Source organism: Homo sapiens, chromosome 13 (assembly GCF_000001405.40).
Source record: "Homo sapiens chromosome 13, GRCh38.p14 Primary Assembly".
Taxonomy (NCBI): domain Eukaryota; kingdom Metazoa; phylum Chordata; class Mammalia; order Primates; family Hominidae; genus Homo; species Homo sapiens.
The window spans coordinates 38,062,863-38,079,303 of record NC_000013.11 but is presented as its reverse complement, the minus strand read 5'-3'; the positions used below and the strand labels follow the sequence as shown (position 1 = coordinate 38,079,303).

The 16,441-nt window shown below is 38.1% G+C and overlaps 2 long non-coding RNA genes across 2 annotated transcripts in view; one reads left to right on the top strand and one right to left on the bottom strand.

Annotated features, from left to right (window-relative positions):
- Nucleotides 1–16,441, top strand: part of LINC00571 (long intergenic non-protein coding RNA 571) — a 92,416-nt gene that overhangs the window by 63,929 nt on the left and 12,046 nt on the right. The gene's annotated exons all lie outside the window — the stretch shown is intronic.
- Nucleotides 13,733–16,441, bottom strand: part of LINC02334 (long intergenic non-protein coding RNA 2334) — a 131,124-nt gene continuing 128,415 nt past the window's right edge. Inside the window, exon 4 of the long non-coding RNA XR_941880.4 lies at nucleotides 13,733–13,959. This is a non-coding gene — a long non-coding RNA (long intergenic non-protein coding RNA 2334). The remainder of the gene's footprint in view (nucleotides 13,960–16,441) is intronic.

The following is a 16,441-nucleotide window of genomic DNA, read 5'->3' as shown; positions in this document are numbered from 1 at the left end:
ATATTTATTAGATCCATTTGGTCTACGGTGCAGATTAAGTCTGATGTTTCTTTGTTGATTTTCTATCTGGAAGATCTGTCCAATGCTGAAAGTGGGGTGTTGAAGTCTCCAGCTACTATTGTTTTCGGTCCTATCTCTCTGTTTAGCTCTAATACTATTTTCTTTATATATGTAGGTGCTCCAGTGTTGGGTGCATATATATTTAAAATTGTTATATCTTCTTACTAAGTTATCCCCTTTATTATTATATTGTGACCTTTTTTGTCTCTTACAGTTTTTATCTTGAAAATTATTTTGTCTGCTATAAGTATAGTGACTTCTGCTCTTGTTCAGTTTCCATTGTCATGAAATCTTTTTTTTTATTTCTCTATTTTCAGTTTAGTGTGTCATTATAGGTGAAGTGTGTTTCTTGTAGGCAACAGATCAATAGGTCTTGCTTTTCATTTATTCAGCCAGTCTATGCCTTTGATCGGAGAGTTCAGTCCATTTACATTCAATATTATTATTGATAAGTAGAGACTTACTTCTGCCTTTTTGTTACTTGTATTCTGGTTGTTTTATAAGTTTTTTACTTTTTTCTTTCTTTCCTCTAGTGAACATAATTTTTCTCTAGGGATGTAATTTTAGTTTCTTGCTTTTTATTTTTTGTGTCTCTATTGTATGTTTTTTGGTTTGACGGTACTGTGAGGCTTGCAAATACTACGTTATAATCCATTTTGTTAACCTGATAACAACTTAGCACTGTTTGCATAAAGAAACAAAGAAACAAGCCAAAAAAAATCCCTAATAAGAATTCTGCATCTTAATTTCATCCCTTTGCTTTTTAACTGTTTGTTGTTTCTTTATATTTTACTGTACTGACCATATCTTGCAAATTTGTTACAATTATTATTTTCAATTGGTTCATCATTTAGTCTGTCTACTTAGGATAAGGATAAAACTACAGTTCCAATGTTATAATATTCTGTGTTTTCCTGCATACTTGCTATTAACAGTAAGTTTTGTACCTTCAGGTGATTACTTACTGCTCATTAATGTCCTTTTCTTTCTGATGGAAGTACTCCCTTTACTATTTCTTGTTGAAAAGGTGTGGTGTTGATGAAAACTCTCAGCTTTTGTTTGTGTGGAAAAGTCTTTATTTCTCCTTCATGTTTGAGGGATATTTTTGCCAGATATACTCTTCTAGGATAATAGTTTTTTCCTTCAGCGCTTCAAGTATGTCATGCCACTGTCTCTTGGCCTGTAAGGTTTCCACTGAAAAGTCTGGTGCCAGATGCATGGGAGTTCCATTGTATGATATTTGTTACTTTCCTCCTGCTGCTTTTAGAACCCATTCTTTATCTTTGACTTTGGGTGTTTTATTATTAAATGCCTTGAGGTGGTCTTCATTGGGTTAAATATTCTGGTGTTCTATAACCTTCTTGTACTTGCATATTGGCATCTTTCTTTAGGTTTGGCGCATCCTTTGTTATTATCCCTTTGAATAAACTTTCCATCCATCTCTCTTTCTCCACCTCCTCTCTGATGCCGATAACTCTTAGATTTGCCCTTTTGAGGCTATTTTCTAGATCCATTAGGTGTGCTTCATTGTTTTTTATTTTTTTTCTTTTGTCTCCTATTACTGTTCATATTCAAATAATCTTTCTTGAAGTTCACTAATCCTTTCTTCTGCTCAATCAATTCTACTATTAAAAGACTGTGGAGCATTCTTCAGTATACCAATTACATTTTTCAGCTCCAGAATTTCTGATTGATTCTTTTTAATTATTTTGATTCTTATATTAAATTTATCTGATAGAATTCTGAATTCCTTCTTTTTGTTATATTGAATTTCTTTGAGTTTCCTCAATACAGCTATTTTTAATTCTCTTTCAGAAAGGTGACATATCTCTGTTTCTCCAGGATTGGTCTCTGGTGCCTCCTTAAGTTCATTTGGTGAAGTTAGGTTTTTCTGGATGGTGTTGATGCTAGTACATGTTCTTTGATGTCTGGGCATTGAAGAGTTAGGTATTTATTGTAGTCATCACTGTCTGCACTTACTTGTAGCCATCCTTCATAGGAAGGCTTTCCAGATATTTGAAAGCACTTGGGTGTTGTAATCCAAGCTGTATTTGCTTCAGGGGGCACCAAAGCCCAGTCATGCTGTGGCTTCTTCAGACTCATAGAGGTACTGCGTTGATAGTATTGGACAAGATCTGGGAGAATTCTCTGGATTACCAGGCAGAGACTCTTATTCTCTTCCTTTACTTTCTCACAAACAAATAGAGTCTCTCTCTCTCTGTTCTGAGCTACCTAATGCTGGGAGTAGAGTAACACAGCCCTCTGTGATGAGGTTTGTGGGAACTCAAGTTCAGACTGCTGGGATAAGTGATTTCCCCTGGCTAGGGCTGGTTTAAATACTCGCACCATGGGTGGGCATCAGCTGAGATTGGTCTGATTTTCCTTTCTTTCTTACAGGACAGCACTGAGTTCAATGCCTCACAACTGGTGTGTTCTCCCTCCCTCCTCAGTGTCCAAAGCCATTCTTTGCACCATGCTGCTGCTACTGGGGGTGGGAGAGGGGTGGTATCAGAGATTCAGGACTGTTTTCTCTATCTCTTCAGTGGCTCTTCTTGTGATATAACTTTCTATGACACCATTCTTGCATATAAAGCTGGGGATGCCACCTTGTTACCACCAGCTAGAGGTAGAAATCCATCTTCCCCACTGGCTGCTGCAATCACATGAAGGGGAGTGGGTGGGTGTAGGAGTTCCTACTCACCATAAAGCCTCCACTAACAGTGTGGTTGGGGTGACCTCTTTACTGTTAGTGGTGAAAATATTAACTCTCCACCTGGCCTGTGCTGTCAGCACCCTTTCAGAAAGAGGTGAGAGATTCTCATTGCTGCTGGGTGAAGGTAGAAGCTCATGTCAGTTGTGTCAACTAATACGGGGAATGGGGTTGCTGACTCACTATTGGCCAGTAGCAATGTACGTCCTGGCTTTCTACTTGGCTTTCTCTGAGAATCTTCTGTTGGGGTTAGAGCACCTTGTCACAGCCTCTAAACTGTAGCTGTGTAACCTCCCCATGCAACCTTTAGCAGTGTAGGTAGGGATGGGGTAGGCTCATGTTTTTCTTTCTGTGGCATCAGGCTGTAGTAGTGAGGTTATTGACTAAAAGTCTGTGGCCTTAATAACCTGCCATTTCTCTAGAGAAAGCAGGGATTTTTGTCTTCTTGTCTTTGCCTGTTGGTGTTTCTGGGCTGCCAGTTTTTTTGACTCCAAGTTTGGTATATATGAATCAAAAATAAATCCTAGAGAATTCACCACGGTATAGTGTCTTGGGCCTTGAGGTCCATAGCCAGTCTACCTTCTTCTGCTTACCTGTAGGAGCCTTCTTATGTTGGTTTTGTATGTGATCAAAGGGGAGGCTGAGGCAGGTGGATCACCCGAGGTCGGGAGTTTGAGAGCAGCCTGGCCAACATGGAGAAACCCCATCTCTATTAAAAATACAAAATTAGCCAGGCATGGTGGCTCATGCCTGTAGTCCCAGCTACTCAGGAGGATGAGGCAGGGGAATCGCTTGAACCCAGGAGGCAGAGATTGCAGTGAGCCGAGATCGCTCCATTGCACTCCAGCCTGGGCAACAAGAGCAAAACTCTGAAAAAAAAAAAAAAAAAAAAAGAAGGAAAGGAAGGATGTTATCAACTTGACCATTTCTATGAAAACTCATCCACTGGGGACCCTCCAGAACAGTGAATATGCACCCTAGAGTTGTATCTTTGAAAAGTTTATGGATGTTTCATTCATTCACCATTTCTCATTCTTCATGAATCCCAGTGCTGGGATTACAGGCATGAGCCACCATGCCTGGCCGATAGCATATTCTTTAAATGCTTTAAGTGCTTTTGCTTTTTCCCTTTCTTCCGCTGTCTGCTCACTTAATGTTACTTCTTAAAATGCATCACAAATAAACCACCTGTAGTCAAATCTTTGTCTCAGACTTTGTTTTGAGAAACCAAAATGTTTAGATACAATCATCTTATTCATATATTTCATTTCACATATGAAGTATTTGTAAACCAAAATATTTCTGTTTATCTTCAGTGATAAAGTCATTCATACTAGGACAGCTTCAGGTGTAGTAGCTGTAACAGTTTGTACAAGAAATAATTATATGGTCAAATATCTTGAATATCATCATGCATTTTGCTAAAGCATAAAGAACATGAGTTCCAGGTAAATACTGTAGTGACAGTCTTTTCTGTACTTCCTTGCCATTTGAATTCCTGTCAATAAATGTGACAGCAAGGATAAAATTCATAAAAAAATTTAGCCACAGTTTCCGACGTGACAGAAGAAATGATGTGTAAGTTACCTTTATGTCCACAAAAACCAGCAAAGTGTCCAGCAGAAACATTGATTCTTAATAAGTGTCTGCTATTGGATATTTTAAATCATGTTTACTAGGTGGCAGCATTAATAGAGATTTAAATCACATCCGAGTTAATCATTTCATCTGTCTTGCATGTTGTAGTTCATTAAGTGATTATAATACTCATTCTGCAGTTCTTATGTATCCTTTTTTTCCTCTGAATTTAAAAGCATTTGTTTCCACTAATAATTATTAATATATTATGGGCAGCAAATATAGCAACCTTAATAGAACTGATCATCTTTATGCCCGTTTTATGTCACCCATTCTCTACTCAACAGTAGCCAGAATTTTAGTTTATCTGAAAGGTCTGACTTGTGAATTAACAATTCAGATTTTCTTCCCTGGATGATCCACATCCCTGGTTACCATGATTTTTGGGGGTAAAATTTCTCAATTTTCTATTTATACTTTTCAGTGGTCATGTAAGAAGCAAGACTCACCCCAATGAATACTTCGCATTCCAGAATACTCAGCCTTGTCCCATTATCGAACTGTAAACTTACGCCCCCATACTGAGTAAATTATTTATTCCAGTAAAATAACTCATTTATTTTCCTACCAGCCTATTAACATGGGAAGACCCAGATATAGCAACTGCAGCTTTATGTTTAGTGAAACATTATGTCATCTCGTGGTATTATCTCCCACCAGGAGCCAGAAACTCAAAGCCAGAAGGGCATTAAGTTGTGGAGACAAGAAGCATATATTAGCCACATATGTCAATGGAAATCTTTCTGAGAAGGGCAATTTCTTGGAATTCCAGCAACCAGGAATGCAGCATTATATGATGTCTCTTGGTTCCAAGTATAGGTTACATTTTGCAGAATAATGGCTAACTACCAGAGTGTCATTTCCTAGCTCTTAAGCTGAGACTTCAAGGATCCATGTCCATAATCTATCAGGGGAATCTCACCCTTTAAGTTAAGATGTGCAATCAATGCAAAATATCATGTAATGAATAATATTTCCTGTCTGTAGCAAGGAGACATTTTAAATGTTAATTTTAAAGTGGCTACTGAATATGTTCAGGAACACCAAATTTCCAGTGCTAATGAATTGCCTGGTGCAGCAAACTGTGATAGAATGCCAAAATGTATCTCAATATTAATTGCACATAGTAAAAATATCAACGTGATGCTACAGGGATAAAGAAAATTGCAGGAATATGTCATAAGTATGAGATGTACAAGACTTCCATATTAATTTCTCAAGCATACCTGTGAATATTAGGATCTGTATATTTCTCTTAACTGAAAATCTGTGATACCATCAATTATTAATATAAATGGAACAAACTATTGCCATTTATTAGGAGAAAATATATACTGTAAACTGAAAGCTGAAACAGGACTAGATAATATATCCTGAGAATAGGATCCAGAAGTTGCATTATTCACCTATCAGACGGCAACAAGGATCCCAATGCTAGTCATAATCGTGGGTCCTAAGAACCCCTGAAAAGCTGGATTTACTAACATTTTCATATGTGGTAGATGGGAATGGGGTTATATGGAAGATGACACCCTGGATTCTGCAATTGGCAAGTATTTAAAGTGTATGGGAGAAATGGTAATAGACTTATATGTTTGATTTAGGTACATGGAAAAAAATTAGATAACAATGCAGAACATTGGAAATGACTGTAGAGGTAGACAGAATTTCTCTAGCTTCTGTTTTCTTGACACATTTTTCAAATATGAGAAAACAGCAAGTGGATGAACTTCTGTCTGAAGTACTCTGACAGAAGCCTTCTTCTAGAGGGCATAGACAATACCAGAGCTTTTGTTATTTTCACAGGAGTGGAGCCAGAGAAATTGGGTCTCTAGAGGTTAGGATTCTAATGTGAAGAGATGTGTGGATAAATGACCTCAACACATGTATGAAAATGCAAGTTTTATTTATTTGCCTAGGTATGATGAGACCAAAAGACCAGGAGACAACTGCCAAAGGTTATTATAACTCCAGATCCAAAGGGAAAGGGACACATGACACTATGGGGGAGACACATGGAAAAGCACCAAGGTTGGTCAGGAGGAAGATGGACTGTGCTGAAAATGCAGGCAAGAGCTTTTATTGTGGTTTTTGCAGGAAGAAATGGGCAAGGTAGTGTAAGCAGGCTTAGAATTGGCTAGTTTGAGCAATTTTGGCAGGCTCCATTGTGTAGGAGCTCTTCCTAGTTGTCTGGTATCTGGCTCTGGGGTAATTAGGGCAAGGAAATCATGGCCCAGACTGTGAGAGCATGATTTTAAAATGTGGTTGGGGATATGGGTTCTGGGTTAGTTTAGTTTGCCTTTGAAAAGCATGTTTGCATGTGAGTTCTTTGTATCTTTGGGAATTGATAAATCTTGGGAGAAGCAGTCTGTCCAGGATCAGCAAGACCCTAATATGTGAAAACATTAAAAATACAAAAAATTTACAAAGCATAATTAGTGTGACTCACAGTTGGTTTTCCCTTCTTTTTTTTTTGCCATTATTTGAAATATAGGGTGGGATTCTAAGAATCTAAGTAGATAATCTTCTTAATTTCAGTTAATAGTTGTTTTTAATAGAAGATTAAATGAAATAGAAGTGTTGACTAATTGATTAATAAACTGGAAGACAAGAAAGTCAAAAAAATCCAGAATCCTTGTAGAGAAAAATTCCATAGATTGTTTAGAACAGAGTGTAAGAGCTTATATAAGATACAATGAGAAAATTTAATATATGTTAATTAAGTTCTAAAATGAGAAAAGAGGAAAATAATATGACAGAAGAAATACGGAAAGTCACCAAATATTCTCCAAAGCTGAAGAAAGTTATTAAAGTACAGATTTGAGAACTTCAATAAACCTTAGTTGGAATATGCACAAAGTAAACCACACTAAGGCGTATCAGGATAAACACAACCAACAACTTAAAGCAAAAGCAACAGCCAGAAAAAAAAATCATTTCCTTCAAAGCAACAATAATAATGACAAACTCATTTTTTTTTTTTTTGAGACAGAGTTTTCCTCTTGTTGCCCAGGTTGGCGTGCACTGACGTGATCTTAGCTTGCTGCAACCTCCACCTCCCAAGTTTAAGCATTTCTTCTGCCTCAGCCTCCCAAGTAGCTGGGATTACAGGCACCCGCCATCACACCGGGCTAATTAGGTATTTTTAGTAGAGACGGGGTTTCACCATGTTGGTCATACTGAGCTCAAACTCCTGACCTCAGGTGAGCCACATACCTCGGCCTCCCAAAGTACTGGGATTACAGGCTTGAGCCGCTGCACCTGGCCACAACAAATAAATTTTTAATAGCAGTAATGAAAGCTCAAAATTAATGGAACAAGATCTTTATTTATTTTTATTTTTTAATTTTTTTTATTTTTTTGTATTTTTATTTTTATTTTTTTATTATTATTATACTTTAAGTTTTAGGGTACATGTGCACAATGTGCAGGTTAGTTACATATGTATACATGTGCCATGCTGGTGTGCTGCACCCATTAACGTGACATTTAGCATTAGGTATATCTCCTAATGCTATCCCTCCCCCGACCCCACAACAGTCCCCGGAGTGTGATGTTCGCCTTCCTGTGTCCGTGTGTTCTCATTGTTCAATTCCCACCTATGAGTGAGAACATGCTGTGTTTGGTTTTTTGTCCCTGCAATAGTTTACTTAGAATGATGATTTCCAATTTCATCCATGTCCCTACAAAGGACATGAACTCATCATTTTTTATGGCTGCATAGTATTCCATGGTGTATATGTGCCACATTTTCTTAATCCAGTCTATCATTGTTGGACATTTGTATTGCTATTGTGAATAATGCCGCAATAAACATACGTGTACATGTGTCTTTATAGCAGCATGATTTATAGTCCTTTGGGTATATACCCAGTAATGGGATGGCTGGGTCAAATGGTATTTCTAGTTCTAGATCCCTGAGGAATCGTCACACTGACTTCCACAATGGTTGAACTAGTTTACAGTCCCACCAACAGTGTAAAAGTGTTCCTATTTCTCCACATCCTCTCCAGCACCTGTTGTTTCCTGACTTTTTAATGATTGCCATTCTAACTGGTGTGAGATGCTATCTCATTGCGGTTTTGATTTGCATTTCTCTGATGGCCGGTGAGGGTGAGCATTTTTTCATGTGTTTTTTGGCTGCATAAATGTCTTCTTTTGAGAAGTGTCTCTTCATGTCCTTCACCCACTTTTTGATGGGGTTGTTTGTTTTTTTCTTGTAAATTTGTTTGAGTTCATTGTAGATTCTGGATATTAGCCCTTTATCAGATGAGTAGGTTGTGAAAATTTTCTCCCATTTTGTAGGTTGCCTGTTCACTCTGATGGTAGTTTCTTTTGCTGTGCAGAAGCTCTTTAGTTTAATGAGATCCCATTTGTCAATTTTGGCTTTTGTTGCATTGATTTTGGTGTTTTAGACATGAAGTCCTTGCCCATGCTATGTCCTGAATGGTAATGCCTAGGTTTTCTTCTAGGGTTTTTATGGTTTTAGGTCTAACATTTAAGTCTTTAATCCATCTTGAATTAATTTTTGTATAAGGTGTAAGGAAGGGATCCAGTTTCAGCTTTCTACATATGGCTAGCCAGTTTTCCAAGCACCATTTATTAAATAGGGAATCCTTTCCCCATTTCTTGTTTTTGTCAGGTTTGTCAAAGATCAGATGGTTGTAGATATGCGGCATTATTTCTGAGGGCTCTGTTCTTTTCCATCAGTCTATATATCTATTTTGGTACCAGTACCATGCTGTTTTGGTTACTGTAGCCTTGTAGTACAGTTTGAAGTCAGGTAGCGTGATGCCTCTTTGTTCTTTTGGCTTAGGATTGACTTGGCAATGTGGGCTCTTTTTTTGGTTCCATATGAACTTTAAAGTAGTTTTTTCCAATTCTGTGAAGAAAGTCATTGGTAGCTTGATGGGGATGGCATTGAATCTATAAATTACCTTGGGCAGTATGGCCATTTTCACGATATTGATTCTTCCTACCCATGAGCATGGAATGTTCTTCCATTTGTTTGTATCCTCTTTTATTTCATTGAGCAGTGGTTTGTAGTTCTCCTTGAAGAGGTCCTTCATGTCCCTTGTAAGTTGGATTCCTAGGTATTTTATTCTCTTTGAAGCAATTGTGAATGGGAGTTCACTCATGATTTGGCTCTCTGTTTGTCTGTTATTGGAGTATAAGAATGCTTGTGATTTTTGTACATTGATTTTGTATCCTGAGACTTTGCTGGAGTTGCTTATCAGCTTAAGGAGATTTTGGGCTGAGACAATTGGGTTTTCTAGATATACAATAATGTCGTCTGCAAACAGGGACAATTTGACTTCCTCTTTTCCTAATTGAATACCCTTTATTTCCTTCTCCTGCCTAATTGCCCTGGCCAGAACTTCCAACACTGTATTGAATAGGAGTGGTGAGAGAGGGCATCCCTGTCTTGTGCCAGTTTTCAAAGGGAATGCTTCCAGTTTTTGCCCATTCAGTATGATATTGGCTGTGGGGTTGTCATAGATAGCTCTTATTATTTTGAGATATGTCCATTCAATACCTAATTTATTGAGAGTTTTTAGCATGAAGGGTTGTTGAATTGTGTCAAAGGCCTTTTCTGCGTCTATTGAGATAATCATGTGGTTTTTGTCTTTGGTTCTGTTTATATGCTGGATTACACTCATTGATTTGTGTATATTGAACCAGCCTTGCATCCCAGGGATGAAGCCCACTTGATCATGGTGGATAAGCTTTTTGATGTGCTTCTGGATTCAGTTTGCCAGTATTTTACTGAGGATTTTTGCATCAATGTTCATCAAGGATATTGGTCTAAAATTCTCTTTTTTGGTTGTGTCTCTGCCCGGCTTTGATATCAGGATGATGCTGGCCTCATAAAATGAGTTAGGGAGGATTCCCTCTTTTTCTATTGATTGGAATAGTTTCAGAAGGAATGGTACCAGTTCCTCCTTGTACCTCTGGTAGAATTCGGCTGTGAATCCATCTGGTCCTGGACTCTTTTTGGTTGGTAAGCGATTGATTATTGCCACAATTTCAGATCCTGCTATTGGTCTATTCAGAGATTCAACTTCTTCCTGGTTTAGTCTTGGGAGAGTGTGTGTGTCAACGAATTTATCCATTTCTTCTAGATATTCTAGTTTATTTGCATAGAGGTGTTTGTAGTATTCTCTGATGGTAGTTTGTATTTCTGTGGGATCAGTGGTGATATCCCCTTTATCATTTTTTATTGTGTCTATTTGATTCTTCTCTCTTTTTTTCTTTATTAGTCTTGCTAGTGGTCTATCAATTTTGTTGATCCTTTCAAAAAACCAGCTCCTGGATTCATTAATTTTTTGAAGGGTTTTTTGTGTCTCTATTTCCTTCAGTTCTGCTCTGATTTTAGTTATTTCTTGCCTTCTGCTAGCTTTTGAATGTGTTTGCTCTTGCTTTTCTAGTTCTTTTATTTGTGATGTTAGGGTGTCAATTTTGGATCTTTCCTGCTTTCTCTTGTGGGCATTTAGTGCTATAAATTTCCCTCTACACACTGCTTTGAACGCGTCCCAGAGATTCTGGTATGTTGTGTCTTTGTTCTCATTGGTTTCAAAGAAAATCTTTATTTCTGCCTTCATTTCGTTATGTACCCAGTAGTCATTCAGGAGCAGGTTGTTCAGTTTCCATGCAGTTGAGCGGTTTGAGTGAGTTTCTTAATCCTGAGTTCTAGTTTGATTGCACTGTGGTCTGAGAGACAGTTTGTTATAATTTCTGTTCTTTTACATTTGCTGAGGAGAGCTTTACTTTCAAGTATGTGGTCAATTTTGGAATAGGTCTGGTGTGGTGCTGAAAGAATGTGTATTCTGTTGATTTGGGGTGGAGAGTTCTGTAGATGTCTATTAGGTCTGCTTGGTGCAAAGCTGAGTTCAATTCCTGGGTATCCTTGTTAACTTTCTGTCTCGTTGATCTGTCTAATGTTGACGGACGGGTGTTAAAGTCTCCCATTATTATTGTGTGGGAGTCTAAGTCTCTTTGTAGGTCACTGAGGACTTGCTTTATGAATCTGGGTGCTCCTGTATTGGGTGCATATATATTTAGGACAGTTAGCTCTTCTTGTTGAATTGACCCCTTTTCCATTATGTAATGGCCTTCTTTGTCTCTTTTGATCTTTGTTGGTTTAAAGTCTGTTTTATGAGAGACTAGGATTGCAACCCCTGCCTTTTTTTGTTTTCCATTTGCTTGGTAGATCTTCCTCCATCCTTTTATTTTGAGCCTATGTGTGTCTCTGCACATGAGATGGCTTTCCTGAATACAGCACACTGATGGGTCTTGACTCTTTATCGAATTTGCCAGTCTGTGTCTTTTAATTGGAGGATTTAGTCCATTTACATTTAAAGTTAATATTGTTATGTGTGAATTTGATCCTGTCATTATGATGTTAGCTGGTTATTTTGCTCGTTAGTTGATGCAGTTTCTTCCTAGTCTCGATGGTCTTTACATTTTGGCATGATTTTGCAGCAGCTGGTACCAGTTGTTCCTTTCCATGTTTAGTGCTTCCCTGAGGAGCTCTTTTAGGGCAGGCCTGGTGGTGCCAAAATCTCTCAGCATTTGCTTGTCTGTAAAGTATTTTATTTCTCCTTCACTTACAAAGCTTAGTTTGGCTGGATATGAAATTCTGGGTTGAAAATTCTTGTCTTTAAGAATGTTGAATATTGGCCCCCACTCTCTTCTGGCTTGTAGAGTTTCAGCCAAGAGATCCGCTGCTAGTCTGATGGGCTTCCCTTTGTAGGTAACCCGACCTTTCTCTCTGGCTGCCCTTAACATTTTTTTCCTTTATTTCAACTTTGGTGAATCTGACAATTATGTGTCTTGGAGTTGCTCTTCTCGAGGGGTATCTTTGTGGCGGTCTCTGTATTTCCTGAATCTGAATGTTGGCCTGCCTTGCTAGATTGGGGAAGTTCTCCTGGATATTATCCTGCAGAGTGTTTTCCAACTTGGTTCCATTCTCCCCGTCACTTTCAGGTATTGCAGTCAGACGTAGATTTGGTGTTTTCACATAGTCCCATATTTGTTGGAGGCTTTGTTCATTTCTTTTTATTCTTTTTTCTCTAAACTTCCCTTCTCACTTCATTTCATTCATTTCATCTTGCATCACTGATACTCTTTCTTCCAGTTGATCGCATCGGCTCCTGAGGCTTCTGCATTCTTCACATAGTTCTCGAGCCTTGGCTTTTAGCTCCATCAGCTCCTTTAAGCACTTCTCTGTATTGGTTATTCTAGTGATACATTCGTCTTAATTTTTTTCATAGTTTTCAACATCTTTGCCTTTGGTTTGAATTTCCTCCTGTAGCTCGGAGTAGTTTGATCGTCTGAAGCCTTCTTCTCTCAACTCGTCAAAGTCATTCTCCGTCCAGCTTTGTTCCATTGCTGTTGAGGAACTGCATTCCTTTGGAGGAGGAGAGGCGCTCTGCTTTTTACAGTTTCCAGTTTTTCTGCTCTGTTTTTTCCCCATCTTTGTGGTTTTATCTACTTTTGTGGTTTTATCTACTTTGATGATGGTGATGTACAGATGGGTTTTTGGTGTGGATGTCCTTTCTGTTTGTTAGTTTTCCTTCTAACAGAAAGGACCCTCAGCTGCAGGTCTGTTGGAGTTTGCTAGAGGTCCACTCCAGACCCTGTTTGCCTGGGTATCAGCAGCAGTGTCTGCAGAACAGCAGATTTTCGTGAACTGCGAATGCTGCTGTCTGATCGTTACTCTGGAAGTGTTGTCTCAGAGGAGTACCCGGCCCTGTGAGGTGTCAGTCTGCCCCTACTGGGGTGTGCCTCCCAGTTAGGCTGCTCAGGGGTCAGGGGTCAGGGACCCACTTGAGGAGGCAGTCTGCCTGTTCTCAGATCTCCAGCTGCGTGCTGGGAGAACCACTGCTCTCTTCAAAGCTGTCAGACAGGGACATTTAAGTCTGCAGAGGTTACTGCTGTCTTTTTGTTTGTCTGTGCCCTGCCGCCCAGTGGTGGAGCCTACAGAGGCAGGCAGGCCTCCTTGAGCTGTGGTGGGCTCCACCCAGCTTGAGCTTCCCGGCTGCTTTGTTTACCTAAGCAAGCCTGGGCAATGGCAGGCACCCCTCCCCCAGCCTCGCTGCCGCCTTGCAGTTTGATCTCAGACTGCTGTGCTAGCAATCAGTGAGACTACGTGGGTGTAGGACCCTCCGAGCCAGGTGCGGGATATAATCTCCTGGTGCACCGTTTTTTAAGCCCGTTGGCAAAGCGCTGTATTCGGGTGGGAGTGACCCGATTTTCCAAGTGCCATCTGTCACCCCTTTCTTTGACTAGGAAAGGGAACTCCCTGACCCCTTGCGCTTCCTGAGTGAGGCAATGCCTCACCCTGCTTCAGCTCATGCACAGTGCGCTGCACCCACTGTCCTGCGCCCACTGTCTGGCAGTTCCTAGTAAGATGAACCTGGTACCACAGATGGAAATGCAGAAATCACCCGTCTTCTGCGTCGCTCACTCTGGGAGCTGTAGACCGGAGCTGTTCCTATTCAGCCATCTTGGCTCCTCTCCCTGCTCATCGGAACAAGATCTTTAAAGGGCTTGGAGAAAAAAATTGACAACAAAAACAAAGAATTCATTGCTAATACACCAATACTAAAAGAAATACTAAAATGATTCTTTGGAAAAAAGAAAAAGTATTTTAGATAAACCCATCAAATATCCAAAAGGTTAAATATGTGGATAAAATTAAGTAAATATCAATTCAAAAGAATAGTTATAATTATAATAAGAATGAATGCCTTTGGCTTTAAATATTTACATATGATTAAAATGCAGAGTAATGACACAAGAGAAAGCATTAAGAATTCTAAGGTTATAGAAAAATCAAGGAGTTGTTGAAGTAAAGATTTCTATTAGGTTCTAATTATTCAGGAATATGTGATGCAATATCATCTATTTCAACTTCTGGGCTATAAAAAGTGCAGGAATGTTTAATCAACATATTAATAGAGGAAGGAAATAAATATATTTGATTAAATCAAAAGAGGATATGAAAAGAGACAAAATACATATATAGCAGATGTATCAAATAGAAAACAAATAGATAAGAGATATAACCACAATATTGAACTCATTTCAAATGGAAATAGACAAAATACTTTAAAACAAATATTGCTAAACTGGTTAAGTCTAACAACTATGCTCTAAAACATTAGACGTTAGGGATTTGACTGAATTAAACATTCAATAACAACCATTTGTGTTACAAGAAATAATGAAAATGAAGCTATAAACAAACCAGGAATAGGCACTTCATTAATGTGAATAGGATTATGTACAAAAATTATTCAGAAATCATTATTCTTGATGAATTAGTAAGAGCACTTCCCTGAAGATAGGGAATGAGGAAAGGCTGTAATTGTCTTCATTTCACATTTCAATGGACAGCCTTGTCAGAACAATATGATGGTGAAAATGTTAAATTTATAATGACTAGAATGTAAGAAAATAAATTGGCATTATTCACAGAAGGTTGGTGGTGTGTGTAGTAATCCAAAAAATTTTATGGATAAACTGTTAGAGATAATAAATTTTCATTATAACATGATTACAATTAGAAATGTAGTATATCTGAAAAAAATTTAAAATTACAATTGGTATAACTTATGCTTGCACCAATAAGCATAAGCAGCTAGGAATAAATTTAATAAGTGATGAGTGAGACCTCTCTATTAAAATAATGCAAAAGAAGTACTACCTAATAGAGGGCTACATCATGTTCATTGTTTGGAAGATTCAACTTTTTTTGAGAGTTAGTTGTTCTTGTTCTGTTGCCTAGGCTGAAGTGCAGAGGCATTGTCATGGCTCACTGCAGCCTCCCCCTTCTGGGCTCAAGTTATCCTCCCACCCGGGCCTCCCAAGTAACTAGGACTATAGGTGTGTGCCACCATGCCCAGCTATTTTTTTTTTTTTGGTAGAGACAGGATCTCACTATATTGCCCAGGCTGGTCTCAAATTCCTGGCCTCCCACCTTGGCCTCACAAAGTGCTGGGATCATAGGCATGAGCCACCAAGCCCAGCAGGATTCAACATTTTTAATGTGTTGCTGCTTCCAAAATCCTTCCATGCATTTAATGCACTTACAATTAGATTTATAGCATGTGTTCTTTGGCTGGAAATGACAAATGGATATTAAAAATCATATGCAAATTTAAAGGCAAGAATAGTTATGACAATGATAAAGAAGAATGAATCTGCAGGCATTACAATACAGATACAAGATTTTTAAAGCTATAGTTGTTAATATAATGTGGTAACGCAAACTAGATATGCTACCACATGGAACATAATAATATCTAGAAACAGACCCTTTAAATACAGTTAGTTTATGATAGAAGTGATACGTACAAAGGAGATACATAAGTACAAAGGAGATAGCATGATATTTTCAATTAATGATGCTGTGGAAATTTGATATTTAAATGGAAGTACAATGTAGTTTTTATATATGTATGTGTGTGTACATAGATGAATGCCTCTTTTACAGTCATGCCATACACAAAAATCAATTTAGGATGAACTATAGATCTAAATACAAAATGTAAGTCTACCGTTTCTTGAAGATAACATAGACACACTTCATGCCATTGAGGGAGACAATAATTTCTTAAATACTATAAAAAGTACTACCTAGAAGTGAAAAAATGATAAACTGGAAAATATTGAGTTTTTTTCCCTTAAAACAAATCATTACATGAGTGAATAAAAAGCTATTATGTGGGAGAAGATATTTTCAAGGTATACACATGAAAAAAGACAGATAATATAGGATAGATAGATATATAGACAGACAGCAAAACAGACAGATACATACTTCCTAGGGAGACAGATTCCTATACATAAAAAATATTCCCTGGAGATAATTTTGTCCCTACTTTTTCACACAGTCTTTCCTGATGTGTTCTATGTGATTAATAACATATTCTTTTGTTTGATTTTTTCCCATCATTAAATGGCAGCACACTAAAAAAAAAAAATGTAGAGACAGACAAGCCAATAGAAACATGAACAAAAATGTAA